General features: G+C 35.5%; 2 long non-coding RNA genes across 4 annotated transcripts in view; one reads left to right on the forward strand and one right to left on the reverse strand.

Moving 5' to 3' along the window:
* The window catches only part of LINC02941 (long intergenic non-protein coding RNA 2941), a 117,403-nt gene that overhangs the window by 89,520 nt on the left and 8,974 nt on the right, over positions 1 to 18,909 (forward strand). The window contains exon 2 of one of the 2 annotated variants that reach the window (NR_121622.1): positions 1,599 to 2,042. The exons of the other annotated variant lie outside the window; for it this stretch is intronic. This is a non-coding gene — a long non-coding RNA (long intergenic non-protein coding RNA 2941). The remainder of the gene's footprint in view (positions 1 to 1,598; positions 2,043 to 18,909) is intronic. 2 annotated transcript variants of the gene reach the window in all.
* Positions 1 to 18,909, reverse strand: part of LOC107986652 (uncharacterized) — a 56,727-nt gene that overhangs the window by 29,570 nt on the left and 8,248 nt on the right. The gene's annotated exons all lie outside the window — the stretch shown is intronic.

Consider the following 18,909-nt stretch of genomic DNA (forward strand, 5'->3'; position numbering starts at 1 on the left):
GGAGCTGAGGCAGGAGGATTACTTGAGCCATAGAGTTTGAGACCAGCCTGGACAGGCTATCTCAGCTCAGCATAGTGAGACCTCATCTCTACAAAAAAATAAATAAGTAAAAATAAAAAAGGTGTGTAATCATAGGAGGACAAAGGCAAAATGTGTTGGTCAGGTAACTCAGAAAAAAGAAGGCAAGACTTTGTGTTGTTGGTGCTTAAGAATAGAAAGGGAGTAAAAAGTTGATCTTTCATTTTGTGGTATATTTTATCTTGCACCAAATGACATGTACTATTTTGGGATACTTGTCATTCTTTTCATGTAAAGCTGTGTGAATTCTTTTTATCTATTCTTTCTGAGGTAAAGCAGGCAAAATACTTCCAAAACATGCCAAGTTGAAAAAGAGATTTCAGGACATTTGATCTTTGCATTAAGAACAATAAACTACTTTCTGCTGCTGGCTGTTTCTATGAGTTCCAATTGGAACCCTTTAATTTGTTAGTGAAACTGTCAAAATTTAAACATGGATATTTGTAATTCTATCAGGGCATAGTTAGTTAATAGGTAGGTTCAGGAAAAAGGATTAAGTTTTTCCCTGCTTATCCTTCTCCCTATCAATCATTTTCAATTTCCTTGGTCTTCTCTACTTTAGTGTATTGGGTAAATGAAGAACCAAGATCTCAGTTTGTGATGTTTATTGGGGATCTCAGAAAATGATGGTTTTTTTGTTAAAGCTTTTAAGAGAGAAGTGCCATTTTCCTTTTATTGGTTGGACTACAAAACTGAGATGTGTGTTCATACTCAACGCCAAACTTTTTGTTTACAAAGGGCACCTAGTTCTTTAGTATCTTTTGCTGTTTGGAAGCTCTAAGCTACCAGCTCTCTAGTGCATATTACTGATGACATTTTTCTTGTGGGCATTGATTTAAATCCTGTATTTCAAAAAGAATCCAACTGATCCATATTTCAGATGCTTCCTTTGGACTAAAGCTTGATCTGCAACTCTTGGGGACTGTTCCTGAGGTGACAGTCAACCACTGTTTGTATTCAATCTTCTCTTTCCTCAGAGCAGGCTCAGAAGACTAGGAGCTTGTTTTGCAAATCCATGGCACCAACCATTTACTATCTATGTCACATTTCTGGGAAACTTTCAAAGTCTTTCACCCTAAGTTCAAAATTTAAATTGTATCTATTAGAATATTAGTTTTTTGTATATGACCTTTTAATTTTTTTCTGTTTTTGTGAATTGTGAGCAAACCACACAATTAAAATGTAACTCCAGAACCAGTTAGCAGAAACACTCTCAATTCTTAGTATGTAAGCTTTTTCTTACAACAAAGTTAGTTTAAATGTTTTCAACATAAAGCTGACTCTGTGTCTTCATTTATAGACTCTTATTTTAGCTTGGACACCACAGTTGGGTATTCTACATAGGATAAATTGGGAACTAAAGATCAGGCTACTTAGAAACTATAGAATTATATAATGATATCCAACAATCCTGAGAAAGTCTTTTATGTTTCAAAATTCATTGCTTGGGAATTGTTTTTTAAAGTATAATTGAGGAAGCTTTGAAAGTACAAATACCAACATATCTGTTTTTGCTCTAGGGGCCTTTTAGAAAATCTCACACCACTTCCTAGTTGGAGCAATTAAACAATAGAGAAGATGGGTATTCTGGAGCAGAATTTAATGAAACAGAACTCCACCATCTATGGCAAGTTTGACTGCTTGAGTCTCCAGAGGATAATAGTTGGAGGCCACTGAGGCCCAAATTCATCAGTCCGGCCATTGAAGGACACAAGTGAACAAAGGAGGACGGCAAAGACAGAACTGTGATATTCAAACACTCAATAGCTCACAGTGTCGGGGTTCATTATGACACTTACTAAGCACATGCCATATTTCTGACACTGTGCTAAGAGTTTCATGAACATTAACTAAATTAACCCCATAAAAACGCCATTAGAAAGATGCAGTTTTGTACCCCCTTACACAGATGAAGAAAATAAAGTATAGAGACTTTAAGAAATTTGCCAGAAGTCTTATAACTGGTGAGTAAACTTTAGCTACTTGATCAGACCTCAACCAGGCGATCAGAACCCAGAACCCATACGGCTCAACCAATACTTTAATCTACTTCTCAAAGTCTAAGGTAAGTACGCAGGACCAAGCCAGAAAGCCAGGATACGAGGCAGAGGGCTAGAAGACCAGGTTTTCCTAAAGCATCAGAGTTTTGTTGTTGTTTGTTTGTTTGTTTAAAGACAGAGACTTGCTCTGTTGCCCAGGCTGAACTTGAACTCCTGGGCTCAACCTCCTGCCTCAAGCATACCAAGTAGCTGGGACTACAGGCACATGTGACTGTGCCTGTCTTTTTTTTTTTTTTTCTTCAATTTTAAGAACAGTTACTATGATAACGCCTGAGACTTTCTGCTCGTGTTTTAGACTGAAGTAGTAGATTGGGTTTCCCCCTGCCTATTTGGAGGTCCTGGTTATATAGGAACCACCTGATGTCGGGAGAACACATACCAATCGTTGGTGTACGGGGCACAATTGTGTCTTTGAAGAAGTTTGCACTGTCTGGAGCCTCAGCAGTTTTGATTTAAAAGGCCCAGACATGGAGCTCAGAGCTCAGTCCTTATTCTTTCTTCCTCTTAGGTTTGGCTGGAGAGGGATCTTGCCGAGGCAACTCCAATGATAATACGTTAATTGTCTAACTTCTCGTTAACCCCAGATTCTGGAATATTTAAGTGGTCTATGTTACAAAGTAAGTTAGCAGCACCATGGTAGTGTGATTCCCTGAAAATCCAAAACCTTGGGAGTACTTTTGCATCACATCTCACTCAGGAATCCAGCAATCCATCCAATATCTTTAGTAGAGTGTTACTGCAGTGTGAATCTCAAGACACCTATCCTATTTTTGTATCTTTTCCATTATAAAATGGAACCATTGTTCACATGGAGACAAAGTGCAAGAAACGTAGCAATCAGCTATGTTTTAGGGGAAAGAGGCTGAACTGGTGGTGTAATGGCATGCAGGACATCAGCGTTTGCAAACTGTGCTTGCTAGACATTATAGTCTCCCATAGACGTTTAATTTACTTTTGAAGATATTTCAGCAGTATTTTTCTTACTTCCCAACCCTGATTTCATTCCTTGGAAATTTTCCATATTTAAATATTCTTTATTGCTACATATAGCTCATGGAATGTTGGGGTTTTTTTTTTCTCTTACTTCTTTAACTACTGACATATTCCAAAGAGTTCAGTTTTTTCCAATACAGAATTTGATTCTATTGCATTTATAAAGTGCTAATACAGCTGGATTGAAACAGTGACCCATTCTAGCAGATACTACATTGAATAGCAGTGAACACTGAGAAATTTTGTACTTGCAGGACAATAAATATGAGCAATTTCCATTCCAGGTTTCTAATATAAGGGTAGCATGAATTGACAATAAAATACATCCAGGAATAAGTATAAATCCAGAATCTGAGTCTCAAAATAAATTATAAACCAATATAATTTATTTCAGTATTTATTTCCATGGATAAAAAGTTGTATCTCCATGAAGCTGGACATTTGAACATAGAATTTGGCAACTTCAAGACAGCTAGAAAGAGTAAAATATGACCTATAGAGGAACCATCAGCAAGATTTTTACCCATCTTTTTTAATTTGGATGTTTTCTTGTTACTTAGAGCAATAATAATATTCTCACTTTTATCTTCAAATATGGTTTCTGTTTTCTATTTTACTTTTTTTATCCACATGCCCTAAAACTAAAAGTATTACAGAAAATGTCACCAAAGCATTAAAATAATGTGAAGACTCATAAAGAGGAAACTTTACAGTTTTTAAAATCAAAAAAAAAAAATTTCCTTGATTTGCTTCTTTCCTTGGCAGGAATTATTGCACACAGAAAAACAATCTGGTTCTCATTTTTTTGTTTGCCTTATCACCACATAAACCTCCACTTAATAGACTAAATTTATAAATAAATCTTTTAAAAGAGTGCTTTCTTCTGTGATTTTGGATAGGAAAAAAGCAGAGTCATGTGTAAGTGACAGAATACAGTATCCCCCCTTTCCTCAGTTTCCAGTTACTTGTGGCCAACTGGGATTCAAAATTGGGTGAGTATAGTACAATAAGATACTTTGAGAGTGAGCAAGAGAGAGAGAGATCACACTCACAAACTTTTATTACAGTATATTGTTATAATCATTCTATTTTGTTATTAGTTACTGTTGACAATCTTTTACTTTTCCTAATTTATAAATTAAACTTCATCATAGGTATGTATGTATAGAAAACAACATAGTGTGTATAGGGTTCAATACTAGCTGCAGGTTCAGGTATCCACTGGGAGTCTTGGAACATATCCTCTGAGGATAAGGGGGGACTACTGTAGTATAAGTTTAATGGATGTCAGAAGACAATGGCAGCTTGGCACAAACTCTCAATTCTGCATATACTTCATATTTGGGTGATCTCCTGTGAAACCCATGTAATTGGTCAGCGATAGAGGTCCTGAAGGCAGTCCCCCCTTGCTTTCTAATCCTTTCTCCAGCCTTTACTTTCTCTCTGTTGACTTATTCTTTTCTATGCGTAAGGCAGTTAGTTTTAAGATATAGGTATTATCTATAAAGGTAATAAATCCTGAAAATCAGTTATTTATGTCTTGCTTAACTTAGTTGAAAGCCATTTCTTACTTCTCAAGGAACAACAAAGTCACATCAACTCATAAATGGATTCTAAAAATACACACTATATACTTGCAGCCAAATTGTGTGTGTATGTCTGAGTGTGTGTGTGTGTAAACCTGGCACCTACCCACATCTATTCAGGAACACTTATAGAACCTTCCTTATTTGTGTCGACACTCTTCTCTCCTGAGAAGTTATTCCATAGAACCCCCTTTCCTGTGAAATGACTACTTAAATTTCAGTGGTTCCACTATATATCTCTATCTCATTCAAAACATTGCTTCAAATTCTTGATCTTCACTTGTCTATTCTAGCTTAGCCCACCTGGCTTGGCCACTGCAAGCCCTCCAATGACCCATCACAATGCACCAATGCACATTTCTTCTGTTTTTCCTTTTTTCTGGACATTGATGTCATTTTAGTTATTTTAAGTTTATTTTACTGAAAGACAAGCAGTATGTTTTCTGTGTGCTACATGCTAACCAGATGTCCTTGACCAAACAAAAATTCTTGCCAGGAGAAAGGAGAAGAAAATGTGTAGGAATCTTTTCCCAAAATGGACAGTGTGATTTTCCATACCGGCCACAGTAATACATGGAAATTCTTTCTGATGATCTTGGAGTTCCTGACTAGATATCCTGGTAAAGTCTCCGGCAGTTGTCTTTTCAGTTAAAGTGGCTTTTGAGATAGGACCAAATTTGGCATTAGAATTGCAGATACACATGAGAACTTGTATGTGTAGCACAAACAATTTCTTGCTGCCTATTGCTTGTGGGATGCTTGCCAAGAAAAAACAATTTGCTTTGCTGCAAGAACCCAGTTAGCCATTACTGGAGAATGTTTTTCTAAGATTGCTTATCGGTAATTTTAATAGGGCTCAGAGGTTTGTGTGGTTTGCACAAAATGTTAGTTACTTTTTAAAGGCCCAAATTTCTCCCCATTTTCTTCCACAAATCTGAACTCCATTCTAATTGTAAAATAATCAGTGAGAACAGCACCTCCCTAAATGAGTAGATAGGAATGGATAATTAAATGCTTATGGTGAAATGGATTTAACTATTATATTGCTGTTTCAGATAGAAGGACATTCCCAAAGAGGCTCCTTTGGTTTTATACAGGAGTTCAAGTTGTTAGCTACTATTTTGGTTTTGTAATTGTGCACTGTGGTCATGAGAGGCTTTCTGTGGGGGAGGATATGTCCTCAGTGCCTCTTCATTGATTGATTCATTCATTGAACAAGCATTTGTTGGCAGCAGTTATTCATTTAACAAGCATTATTGGGCCACATTGAGCCACAGAGAGAGAAATGAGTAAGGCACTATTCTTATCCTCAGTGAAGTCAAGTCCATCTTCAAGGTGACTGATGGCAAAAGGAAGAAATCTAGAATTCATTATTTTCAACCATTTGTTATCTAAGTGGATTTTAAGACCATGTTGTGAAACTATTATGATTCACCATCAGAGGAAAAGGGCAATTTATTTTGACCTGTGAAGATGCAGCGGATATGATCTATGTTGAAATGATTTTTTTAAAAAGATATTATTTCTAGATTAAACTTCCTTGAGTCACAGCCTAACCTTTTAAGACATATTTTCCAATTATGCCTTGCTGACCATATATTGAGTTTTCACAATTTGCACTTCTGTCATTTTAACTAATAATATTTAATGTTACTACCTGCCATCATATTTCTACTAATTATTCTCTAGCTGCTGCCTGTATTTGCCCCCTGACAGGCAAAGAAGCAAATGTTTGTAATTCCAAGTTTCTAGAATATTTGAATCTGATCAGTAGCAAAAATATGTTTCTTATTCATAAACATTATGCCTCTCAAACTAATCATAGTACAGGAATATGTACGACTTTGATTGCCACCTGTCTTTTTCAGAGCTGTTTGTTCTGTTTTTTATTCTTCAGATATTATTTGTTTGCTTATTTTGAGACTCTTTTGCAGAAGAGGAAATGAAACACTTACTTGTCAGCGCTATTTTTTAAAAAAATCATATAGTAGAACAGTATTAATTTAATGAAAACTTAAAGATTAAGCATAACAACCTTTTAAAAAGCACTCTCATGTCCTCATTTGAGTTTGTACGGTAGCAGACAGAAACCCTGATAGACATGAGAGGGTTTTTGCCAAAACCCTGATAGACATTAGAACTTGTCCTGTTTTCCTGTTTGGCATTTTTGTAGATGTGCTAAAGCCAAAGTTTATTTTAGAAGAAAAATTGGACAAATATAATCAAAGTATGAAAAGCAATGAGAAAAATCAGCACAAATTTGAAATTTTGTATGAATAACTAGAGTTAACTTTTATTAAAAAAATAAGTATTTAAAAATATTTTCTTCAAGTTTAGTTTTTGTTGCCAAGGCTAAAAAAGGGGGAAATGACCTAAACTTACTACTTTGTGTGTTGAAGAATTTCCCAATTCAAGAGCAGAAAATAATCATGCAAAATTTCTATGATCTATAAAACAAGAAGCATCCTGGTTTTTGAAGGGTGTGATGGCAATTCCCTTCTCTTTATAAGAAAGAGATGTAAAGAAACCACTTGTAAAGGGTTTTTCTTAATAGGATGCATGTGACTTTGTTGAGACAGATGATCTTCTCATCAGTATGTGTTTGGAAACTGTCTATATGGTAGGGCTTTGCATATTTTATTACCTCCCCTTACTGCTTTGAAGTTATTATAGCATCTCTAAAATGTACAAAGAACTCATTTGAAGCTCATATACTTAAAAATCTACATATGTAATCTGAGTATGTAGTTATGAAGTCTTTATTATAGGAAAAGACATATTAGCTTTGTTATCATTGATTTTTCCTCTTCTATTTAAAAAATTTATGCTAAGTTCACAAAGCTGCTAAATGGTTAAAAAAATTGGCAGAACTTATTTGCAAGGAATTACACATAAATGAGAAGTTAATCTTTTGGAAAATTTTCTCAGGATTTCAATATAAAGAGCCAGTTTATGAGAATAATATAATACATTTCTGTTCACAAACACTGTTAAATGCAGGCTCTTATTGACTCACAACAATCCTGTGATGCTGCTACTGTCATCATCTTTGTTTAAAAATGAGGCAACAGAGACTCAGATACACAGTACTTAGGCTTCTGTTCTTTATCCTGTGTTGCGTAATCTCCACACTATACCATACTTTTTCCCTTTGCCTTGTTTGGCCATTTCCAAGACAGCCACGGATCTGCACATTTTCAAGGTAGAATGCCAATATCAGCTTCTTGATTTTACATAGTGTGATTTATTTTATTCAGACGTTTATTTGAAAGAAGTTGATTGGGATAAGTTATAGCCACTTTAGACACCGTTTATAACAATGTCTGGCACACAGTAGGGACTCAGATATTTATGGAATGAATGAGTAAACTATATAAGATATATGGGGACCCTTTTAAAGGGAGGATTCCATTTTTGACTGCACACAGAGGAAAAAGTCATTTGGAGGGCAGAGGAAACAATAATGGAAGTTTGAGTCATATGGCGCCTTGTTACCTGAAGTGTGATCTGTGGATCAGTAGGATCAGCATCACCTGGGAAATTGTTAGTTACGTGAATGATGGGCCCCATCCCAGACCTACTATATTAGACTGCCATTTCACAAGATGGTGTGGTATGATGTTTACCATTTTACCAGGTCACATAGTATCGGGATCACTGTACAGGGCAGTGGTTCTTAAACCTGAACACACATTAGAATTACTTGGGGAAGTAAAAATAAAATAAAATGACCAGTCCTCACTCTGCATCAATTAAATATAGTCTCTGGATAAAGGCACTAAGTATAATTTTTTTTTCTAAAACTCCACTAATGATTTTAGCATGCAGCCAAAATTGGGAATTACTGCTGTAATGTAAAGTCCTCAGTGGGTATCAGAACACCTCAGGCTGTTGCCGATAAGGCACTGGATTTAGTATAAGACGTTCCATCACAGTGGAACCCAGTTATCTGGTTTAGAATAAGATGAGGAGTCATTTGAAGTTCTCTAATGCCTATTACATTCCTGACACTGGGCAATTCAAAGAACATGGCCCTCTACCTATAGTCTTTCTAACTATGTTTATGGCTCTTCATCTATGTGGCTTCATAGTTGGTGCTTGTACTAAATGATTGTCAACCATTCAAAAAACTCCCTCCATACTGTGAAAAACTGTCTGGGTCCATGTTTTTCACTATACATCCATGCCTCTTTCAATTCTGACAGTGAGTCAAACCCAATTTTTCTTTTTTTTTTTTTTTGAGATGGGGTTCTTGCTCTGTTGCCCAGGCTGGAGTGCAGTGGCGTGATCTCAGCTCACTGACACCTCTGCCTCCAGGGTTCAAGCAATTCTCGTGCCTCAGCCTCCCGAGTAGCTGGGATTACAGGCATGTGCCACCATGCCCAGCTAATTTTTGTATTTTTAGTAGAGATGAGGTTTCACCATGTTGGCCAGGCTGGTCACAAACTCCTGACCTCAGGTGATCCACCCATCTCGGCCTCCCAAAGTGCTGGGATTACAGGCATGAGCCACAGCGCCCAGCCAGCCAATCGTTTTTTAAGATAAATTTTGGCTCCAGGAGGAAGAGCCTGAGTGTCTTCCCTGCAAAGGCTTTGACTCAACACCAGCTCAGATTCTGCTGCTGGAGACAGAATCTCACCTAGAGGTATGTCCTTGTTTTAGTGGATTGCCTTGGGTTTTTCCTCCTGACCTTTTGTCTGGAGTATAGCCTTATACAGAACAACAGTGGCAGATAAGAAAAATGGGAGTTTGAGGTTCCCATTAAGGACAATGGAAAGGTTCATTAATGGCAATGGAAAGGTTCATTAAGGGCAATGTGAAGAGAATTGCCTTGTTTTGGAGGCAGTGGGAGCCACTGAAATTTTTGCAATGAACCTATTGTCTGAGACACTGAAATGTTTTTTGAATGAATGAATGCATAAGAGATGATTTAGAGAGAGAGAGATACCTGGATTGGTTGGTTAAAGAAGAAGACGGCTATTAGCTTATTTCCTAAAAGGGAATCATTAATTAGATATGAAGGTGGAAAAGGACATAGAAAAGAAGGAATGATGGCAGACAAAGTGGCACCTAATTGAACTCAGTAGATATATTTTACATTAAAGTAGTGCTTCCCAAGCTTTAACATATGTAAGAATTATCAACAGAACTTGCAAACAGACTGATTCCTTGGCCCCTACCCCCAGAGATTCTGATTTAGAGGTCTGAGGCAAGCCCCAAGCATTTGTATTTTACTAAGCCAGCTCCCAAGATGATGCCGATGCTGCTGGTCTGAGGACCACACCTGTAATAACGTTGTATTTGGGCTTGGAAAGCTAGAATATTTTGTTTTCGATTTTGGTTCTTCCACTTACTGCCTGTGATATCTTAAGCAAATCTATTACCTTTTCCAAGTAATAGATTAATACTTAAAACACCATAATGTATCATTTGCTCAGGGATCTTGTTAAATTGCAGATTCTGATTCAGTTGGTCTGGGATGGAGGCTGAGCTTCTGTATTTCTGAAAGTCTCGCAGGTGACAGCCATGCTACTGGTTCATGAACTGGACTACTATTAGCAAGTACCTAGGCATTATTTCCCCATACTTCACATATTTATTACAATTAAATAAAAATATATAGATAGAAACAGTTTGAAAATTGTGGAGCAAAATGTAAATGTAAGGTGATAGTAGTGAATTGATGAAGACAGGAAATGGAAAAAGATGACTGAATTTTAAGCTGACTAGGGGAATTTTGGCACATACATAGAAATAAAGAAGTCAGGAAGGACATCTGGTTTAACAGAATGTGGATTTTGGGGGGAAAGTAGCAGGCAGTTGAAAACGTAAGACAGGAATAAGCTTGAGAAATAATTTAATCTTGAAATAAGAATTTTGGAGTTGTACACATATGATTGAAAGATATTTCTGTATATATGGGTATATAGAAAAAAAGAGAATAAGTAGAGAATCTGGGAAGAGATACCAGTTGGAAGATGTGAGAAGGAAGAGGTACTATTGGAAGATAGAGCATAGTTTAGCACCTTGTCATAGAGACATTACTTGTCTAACCCCAGGCTGTATCAACAGATTGTATATCCTCCTGATTGAGGATAACAGTCTATTGCATTTCCTAGGCATTCCCCCACTTAGAAATTATTGAAGCATCCCATTTGTGTATGATTTTTGTGGGCAGCGATTCCAAGAATGGTGGAAGATACGTTTCTAAGACTTACGAGTTCCTTGGACCAGGTCATAAGCATTTAGAAAATAGAGTAATTGAGGGAGATCATGAATTGTATAGAAGTGAGGGATTCTGCAATTGAATATCCTTGCCTCATCAATCAATTCAGATACTTGGACATCTATGAAGCTCAAGACAAAATGTAGTTCAATACCTTACTAGGAGGAGCATTTTCACAGAGATAAATTATCCACTAGGGAGAATAATAAGTAGAATTACATGCCTATTAATAGTTGCATAATTTTAAAAGAAAAGAGCATGATTTGTTTAAGACACTAGTGTGTTTGACTCTGTCATGGTGATGTTTTGGTCATTTTCTTAAGGATGCTTCCAAATAATGGCCTCAGATACTGAAAAAGGTTAATAAGAATTCTGGCTGGATGTGGTGGCTCACACATGTAATCCCAACACTTTGGGAGGCTGAGGTAGGAGGCTCTCTTGAGGCCAGAAATTCAAGACACACCAGGGCAACAGAGTGAGACCCCATCTCTACGAAAAAATAAAAACAAAAACAAAACAACAACAATAACAAAAACAATAAAATCAACTGGGTGTGGTCCTGCATGCCTGTAGTCCCAGCTGCTGAGGTGGGAGGACAGATTGAGCCTAGGAGCACGAGGCTGCAGAGAGCTGTGATTGTACTACTGCACTCCAGCCTGGGTGACAAAGCAAGACACTGTCTGAAAAAAGAAAAAAAAAATGTTTTCTTTTTTTCTTTCCCATAATTCACTGGCTCGTTTGCTTTTTGGGTACTTTTAATTTTCCCTCTAAATTTCAAAGTACTAGGTGTTAAAATCTGGACATTTGAAAGTTTGATTTGCAATCATCTAAACTCCTAAAAAACAGAGGTCTCTTTCTAACATTGATTTACTCTCAGAGGGTCACTCATAAACATATTCATTACAGGCACACTCCACGAATATTCAATAATACATCAATCACTAAGCTGTTTATGTTAAGAGACACAATTGAAATTGAACAATATAACTCAATAAAATTACTGGTCTTTTTATTTATTCATCCAAATCCTAGTTGCTCAGTCATTGTAAACAGATCCATTGGAAACAATTCACTTTTCTATTGTTTCAGGATTGATCTTCTCAAACACATGATTATTCTTAATTCAGACAAAATATTTCATTTCTTTAAGTACACCAGAAGGAATTAGAGCCAGCTGAATGCAATAAGAGAAGAGGAAGGAAGACGCTCAGTAAAAGGAAATCAAACCTGTTTACAAGTCTGGATCTAAACACTTGTGAGATTTGTGGTTTTGGAAACTACGTTCATATGTTAGAGGAGAAAATGATGAATACTGGATAAACATGGGTTTAAATGGCCTAGGCCAGATTCTTATTCCTCTTTGCACCCTAAGTATCTCTTTTAAACAAAGAGTTTCACTTAATTTCAAAAAGACCACATGCAGACAAAAGATCAATGAACAGCAGAGTGACAGAGAAATTCAATTTTTCCGAGAATGTTGATATATCTACCATCCAGAAGACAATTTAAAATATGGAAGCACTCATAAAAACAATTAATGTATGTAGTCATCATGAGATACACCAAATTATCATCTCATACTAGTGGTAAATCTTGGTTTCCTAAATCTGTTTTTTGTTTCCCGTTCTTCCACTTTGAATATATGATACTGCAAATATGCTAAACAGGGCCCTTGGGCAAATTAGAAACAGAGGTTGGCAAAAATATTAGGAATTTTTTTGTTTCAATTTAAAATGTGTTTTTTTAGAACGTAAAAAACTTAATATAAGTGTATTCTGGAATCATAAGGATGAACATCAACTAAACGAGTCCTGTCCTGGAACTCTAGTGCCCTTTGGCATATGTATTTATTTATCTACATTTTAAACTTAATAATTTTTTAAAAGTATGAGGACAGCTGGGTTGAAGCTATTCAATATGCAGTCATTTTGGATCAATGTGACTTCAAGTGATGGGTTACCAGAAAAGATGCTGGACTGTAAGAGTTTTTGAATTTGTGGGCTTAGGAATTTTGATGACTAAAAAAATAAAAAAAAAAGGCTAAAGGGAATTGGCATTTAAATTCCATGTGGCTGAGCTTTTTAGTTGCATTCAGACACTTCTATTTTTATTTCTTCAAGCTGGGCCTGTTTCCAAGAAGGAAGCTGTGGAATTATTGCTCTTACTCCCACATTTAGTGCAATCCCTTACAATACTAAGGATAGGTCAGATTTTTGCCCGTCCCCTGCATTAAACCTACAAGTAGATCAGATTTCAGGATAAGCAACAAGCAAAAAAGGACAAAAAAATTTCAAGTGAAACATTTGAACCAGCTTGACTTGAATTAGGGTCGAATCAACTGCATAATCTAATGTTCATAGAGTGCTTTGTCTTTAGAACCTGGCTGGTTTTACCCTATAACATTTAAGTTATTCTTCCATTTATTCTTTTTCTTCTTCTCTTCTTCCTTTTATTTTTATTACCCCACTGTGTTCCTATACATTTAAAAGGTTAGCTGTTTTTGTTTTATGCAATGGAAAAACTGTTGTTGAAGTTTTAGCCTTGAAAAGCACTGACTGTACCTAAAAACGGAAAGAAAGCACTCCTTTGCCTTGCCTCCCATTGGTTGTTTGGAAACAGCTGTTTGACGCCAAGTTTGTACTTCACTCTTATCAGCTCATTTGGTGAGATCAGAATGTGCCTGAATAACTCTGAAGGTTAAAATATGTTGACTGAATTTTCTGCTGCCACCATTCAGCAGCAGCTAGGCTATGCCTCTCATGATCATGACACGTAGTGGAAATTTTCCTGGCTTCTATACATCATCATCTCTGCCTGGTGAGTGTCATACTGAGGATGAGCACAGCAGGACGGCCTGCCAATGGGCCTGACAGAGCTGGCCTACGAACATATGGAATTGTGCTTCCAATGGAAAGCACACTATTTGCATTGACTTGTCATCATTCAGGGACCAAATTTTTTATTTTTGCCTTTTTATCAACCATTGGTGTCTTGTTTAGGGCATCTATAACTTTTTTTTTTTCAGAGAAAATTGGGCATTACGATTTTCTTACTCAATCTCATAATCATTTTAAGCATTCCAAAAATTATACTCCACTGGTCCTGACTGCTACTTAAATTGTATGCGTTCTTTCCAGTCCTTATTTACAATTTAACTCCAAATGCTTCATAGTACAAACAGAAGAGCCTTTGATTTTGATTTTTTTAATCATTCAATCTTACAGAATTGAATCATGCCATATTGTTATTTTTGCTCAGCAATTAGAAAATACTCACTGTCCAACAGTCCAAGAACTTTTAAGTATTACAAAATCCTTTTCCGTAATCTCATGTTAACAATACAGCCTTAGTTTAGAAGCATTTTCTAAAAGATGTTAAGCATTAACCTTGTAATTTGTGGTGTGCTTATATTTATCGCCAAATAATTTGCAGCATTTTGTCAGTTATTTATCTAGTTATTTATATGTTTATCTGATGCCTATGCTGAAATATTCAAGGGCTTTTACAAGTGTGCTGTGTTAGCAGAAAATACTGTTCAAGGGAGAAAAAAATATTCTTTTTCACTTGACTACTTCAATACAGCAACTACAGTAGTTACTGTATGACTTATTGAACAACCATTAGAAGGAAAGAGATGAAATAGATCAGCCAATCCCCTAAGTCATAGATACTGAATATCTACTTCGTGTGGGTTTATGTCTAAGATATCATGGGAGCTCCACAAAATATATAACTGTTACCCAAATGGCAAAATAGTGAACTTGGGATCAACATAAATTTTAAAAGGCTTGTACCTAATTTTTATTCTTTTTTGTTCCTCAAGTTCTTTTAAACTTAGAGCTTCCCTGGGCCTCAACCAGTGCCAGCTGGGCAAAAATTCAATAACCTATGTGGAGATCATTATTGACCAAACATGTTATCAGATTTAGATGGTTTGATATGCAATTATTCTGAAGACCAATTAAATATCACACACTGTGGTCATTAATAGACAAAATTGTATTCTTATATGAATGATACATCTTAGTTTCCCATATCTGTTTTCTCCTTCCAGTATATATTTTTTGAATAAATATTAAAAACCTGCCACATGGACAAACCATGCCAGTGTTTCCTTTTCATCATATACAGTTATTTGAAGAGGTTGGCATTAATCTGTGAATTCTCCATCTAGCTCATCAGGAAATAGCTGCAAAGAAGGAATTATCAAATAGTTACCTTGGTCCCTGTGGGAAGAGCGGGGCTCCTTATGGGGAAGATGGGAGAGACAAATTTAGGAAGAAGAACTGAGAATTGTTTTTTCTTCCTAATTCTTGCCTAAATTCAGATAACTTATTATGGATGCTATTTTCATCTTCTGAAATATCTAACCACCTTTTCAAAGACTAGGTTTAATTGGGGAGGATTTTCCCTTCTACAAGGCTTGCTTCAATTCTAGACTCATTAAGATGTTGAAATATCTATTCTGGTGGTTCTTTCCTTAATGGTATCAGGTTGAATTCTGTCTAAAGTTTTACAGGTTCAGATGTTGAATCTTGTTAAGATGCAGATGTGTTCCAGGATCTCCACCTAGAACAGCCATTCAAAAACCCCAGAGTAGAGCTAAACTTTGTGTGCTTGTGAAGTATGATGCACACACAAAACTACAGTGTAGTTGAGAAATGATTGTGAAGATAAAACCATGCCTCGTGTACAAAACCCCACACATATAAAAATAATCATCTTCAACTTTATGTAATTGTTCATAAAATAGATTATTTAATATTAGTTTTTTTAAACACAGTATGAAAGTAAAATTTTAAAAGTGTAATTATTTGAAGTGCACAAGAGTGCTTTACATTAAAAAATTGCAACTATATGCCCCTAAGCAAATCAATTAACTTCTCTGGTTGTGGTTTCCTCTTCTGCAAAACCAGAGGATTGGACCAGCTATTTCTCAGGTTTCTCTCAGGTCCAGTATTTAATAATTCTGTGACTCATTTTATGAAATTCATCACACCTTAATTTATGAACTTCTAATTACATATTTGTAAGTAGGCTTTTCTTAAAATGGTTTCATACCATTTGTTATATTAATACTTGCTTAACAGTTAAAGAGAAATTAAAGATAGAAGAGAATGAACAAGAGACAGGAATAAGAAATAGTTCCTAAAGCCCAAAGTACTAAAAGGCATTACAGGCAATACAATTTTGTGGGTATTTTGAAGAAAAGGAAAGTCACTGTAAACTTTAGTTTCTATTTTGTGCCATATGTGTTATGGCTGCTAGTTACTTAATCTCACAACTACTCTAAAATAGATATTAATGTCCAGTGTATATTGCTAAGTAAACTATGGCTCAGAAAAATCCAAATCCATTGAATTAGGAAGTAACACAGTTGAGGTCTTTGGGTTTGAGTGATTCTTTACATGCTCTTACCAGATCATGATGCAGTCTTTGTTTATCAGGATAAAATAGCAAAAGAGAACTGCACATAGAAGGATTAAGTAGCACATGAAATGTCTATGCTCCTAAAGAGTTCCAAAATAATGTCTTTTATCAACATTTGAATTTTTATTAAAAAATTCTTACCCAGAATAAATTGAAATAAAGTATAAAAGACCACATATGGTGCTAACAAAGACTTATGTCTGCTGATGCTATGCTATTCAGTGATATAACAATGCTAATCATAGCAATAAAATATTTACTAAATAAATATGGATTGAAGCTTTGAGCAAAGGCCATCGTTGTTTTTCTCATAACACAGAACTACTTTCACGAGAATGATATGTGCATAAAATTTGCCCTCTACAAGAGATTACCTAAAGAATTATTGTTATTTTGTAGAAGGTTTGTATTGCACTTCAAATCCAATAATGAATATTGAGGGCTTTCTGTTCAGATCTATGAAATAAAGGATAATTTATGCTTATTCATGTAATAACTAAGAAGCTATCAAATATTTATTATTGGATTGAAGCAATGGAAATGGTGAGAAGAAGGGAGAATGAATCTATTTTTAAAAGAAGAAAAATGCAATTAAGTCTTTTTGGGGTATAAGAATTTGCAGAACTATTATAAATAGAAGGGCCCATCTCAGCTTGATTACTTCAAAACAGCTTCCTGCAACCTCCCACCAAGTAGATGAGCAATTAGTATAATCACAGCAATAAGTCAAAGACACTTGCTGTTCAAACTTGTGTTGCAACTTTTCCTTTTGGCATTGCTCCTAGCCTATTCCAGTTCCACACACAGACACAAATGCACATATTTAATAAAATTTTATTTGGTAAAAGGCAAATGCCTAGGCTTGACTTCTTTTTTTGTATCAAGGTTAAGTAAAGGGCACTGAACAAGTGAAGCTGTGCTGAAAACAACAGTGGCCAAGGCAGAGATATTCTTATACCTCAACCCGTTGTGCAGATGGAAGTCTGGCCAAAAAACCATAAAGCATCAAGTCTGACTGTGAGTCAATCTGTCAGCACAAGTACAAGGTGACTCAGGAAAAGACTGCATTTTGTTTTCTGGGAAATATTCAGGGGTTCTAGTAATTTATGAGTGTTGGATATTGTTTTCAGGAAAGGATAAAAACGACTTCATAAATAGAAAGAATGAAATTTTAATAATTGATTCTCTGCTAAAAAAACAAAGAGTAAGAGTAACCCAAGCGAATTCATTTTTTAAAGAAATTTTCAATAGGCAGATATTAAACCTACACTTCAGTTTGAGATACTTCCATATTTGTAAATCTTATGTTACTAAGTTGACTCAGTACACAATAAATTGTTTCTAAGAAGCAGCAGCATAGTAAAACAGGCTTTGCAACTCCAGTCATGTGACCTTTCGAACTATGTTTTTAGCGTGTCTAATTTTAAGGTTTGCTTTAGGTTTAATCTACACAATTAATTAATTGTTACAAGTTGTCAAATTATTGGTTTGTCTGGATCTTCTATGTTAATATGAATTTAAAGGAATGTTTAATGTTGTTGAATAATAGGGAGAAGAGAGAGCTTTAGATCTTTGATTTTTCAGTCTTCCTGGTATTGCTAGGTATTTTAAATACCCAGCATTTGTCTATTCCATTGTGTCAATTATGACAGCCTTGATTTTTCACTAGTTTGGGAGTTCTTTTATGAGTGTTTCCAAATGCTTTCCTTCTTTTTTACCTAATTAAAGAAATTCACCAACTTATAGGGGAAAACATCAATTTCAACTTTTTATGAAATTCTGCTGAGAGGTTACAGAAGGTATACAGCAAAATACATTTAAAACATTCCAGCTATTAAAGGACAACTATTTTTTTTTTATTGAGGATAAGCACTTTTTATGGTCAAAAGGAATCTGACTTTTCTATTGAAATGTTATATAGAAACACCTGAACACACATAGATACTAAGGCTGAGTTCTCAGGAAATAGTATTCTACCTCCCCAAAAAACTTTGCTTACTGAACACATTATTTTAAGAAGAGAGATTATTAGTAACAGTGATAAGTATCAAGGCATAAGATCAAAATGGAAAAAGAGAAAGCACAGAAGATTGGTTTCTAATAGTGTAAATTATCCTGAAACTGGATACATGAAAGTTTAGAATAACAGGAAGAAAGGAGAAACTTTAGAGGCAGAAATTCAAGGTCAAAGGTCATCACCATATAGGAATTTGAATCAGCTAGGAAAGATAATTGCAAACCTTGACTTTGTCTTTAAATGTCACAAAAGGAAAAGAACAGTACAAGTATTTCAATACACAATTTACCATAGATGCCATACCATGATGATACAGATGACTGAAAGAATGCAGTTGAAACATATCAATGTAAATATATTATTATTTGAAATATAAAGGTAAATACCTCATAATGTTGTGGAACTTGGCTTATTTTTAAAGAATAACTCAGTTTTAAGTAATGTGCATATTATGGGCTGAGTTTTGTTCTCCCAAATTCATGTGTTGAAGTCCTAACCTTCAGTACCTCAGAATGTGAC

The sequence above is a fragment of the Homo sapiens genome, chromosome 6 (assembly GCF_000001405.40).
Source record: "Homo sapiens chromosome 6, GRCh38.p14 Primary Assembly".
NCBI classification, from domain to species: domain Eukaryota; kingdom Metazoa; phylum Chordata; class Mammalia; order Primates; family Hominidae; genus Homo; species Homo sapiens.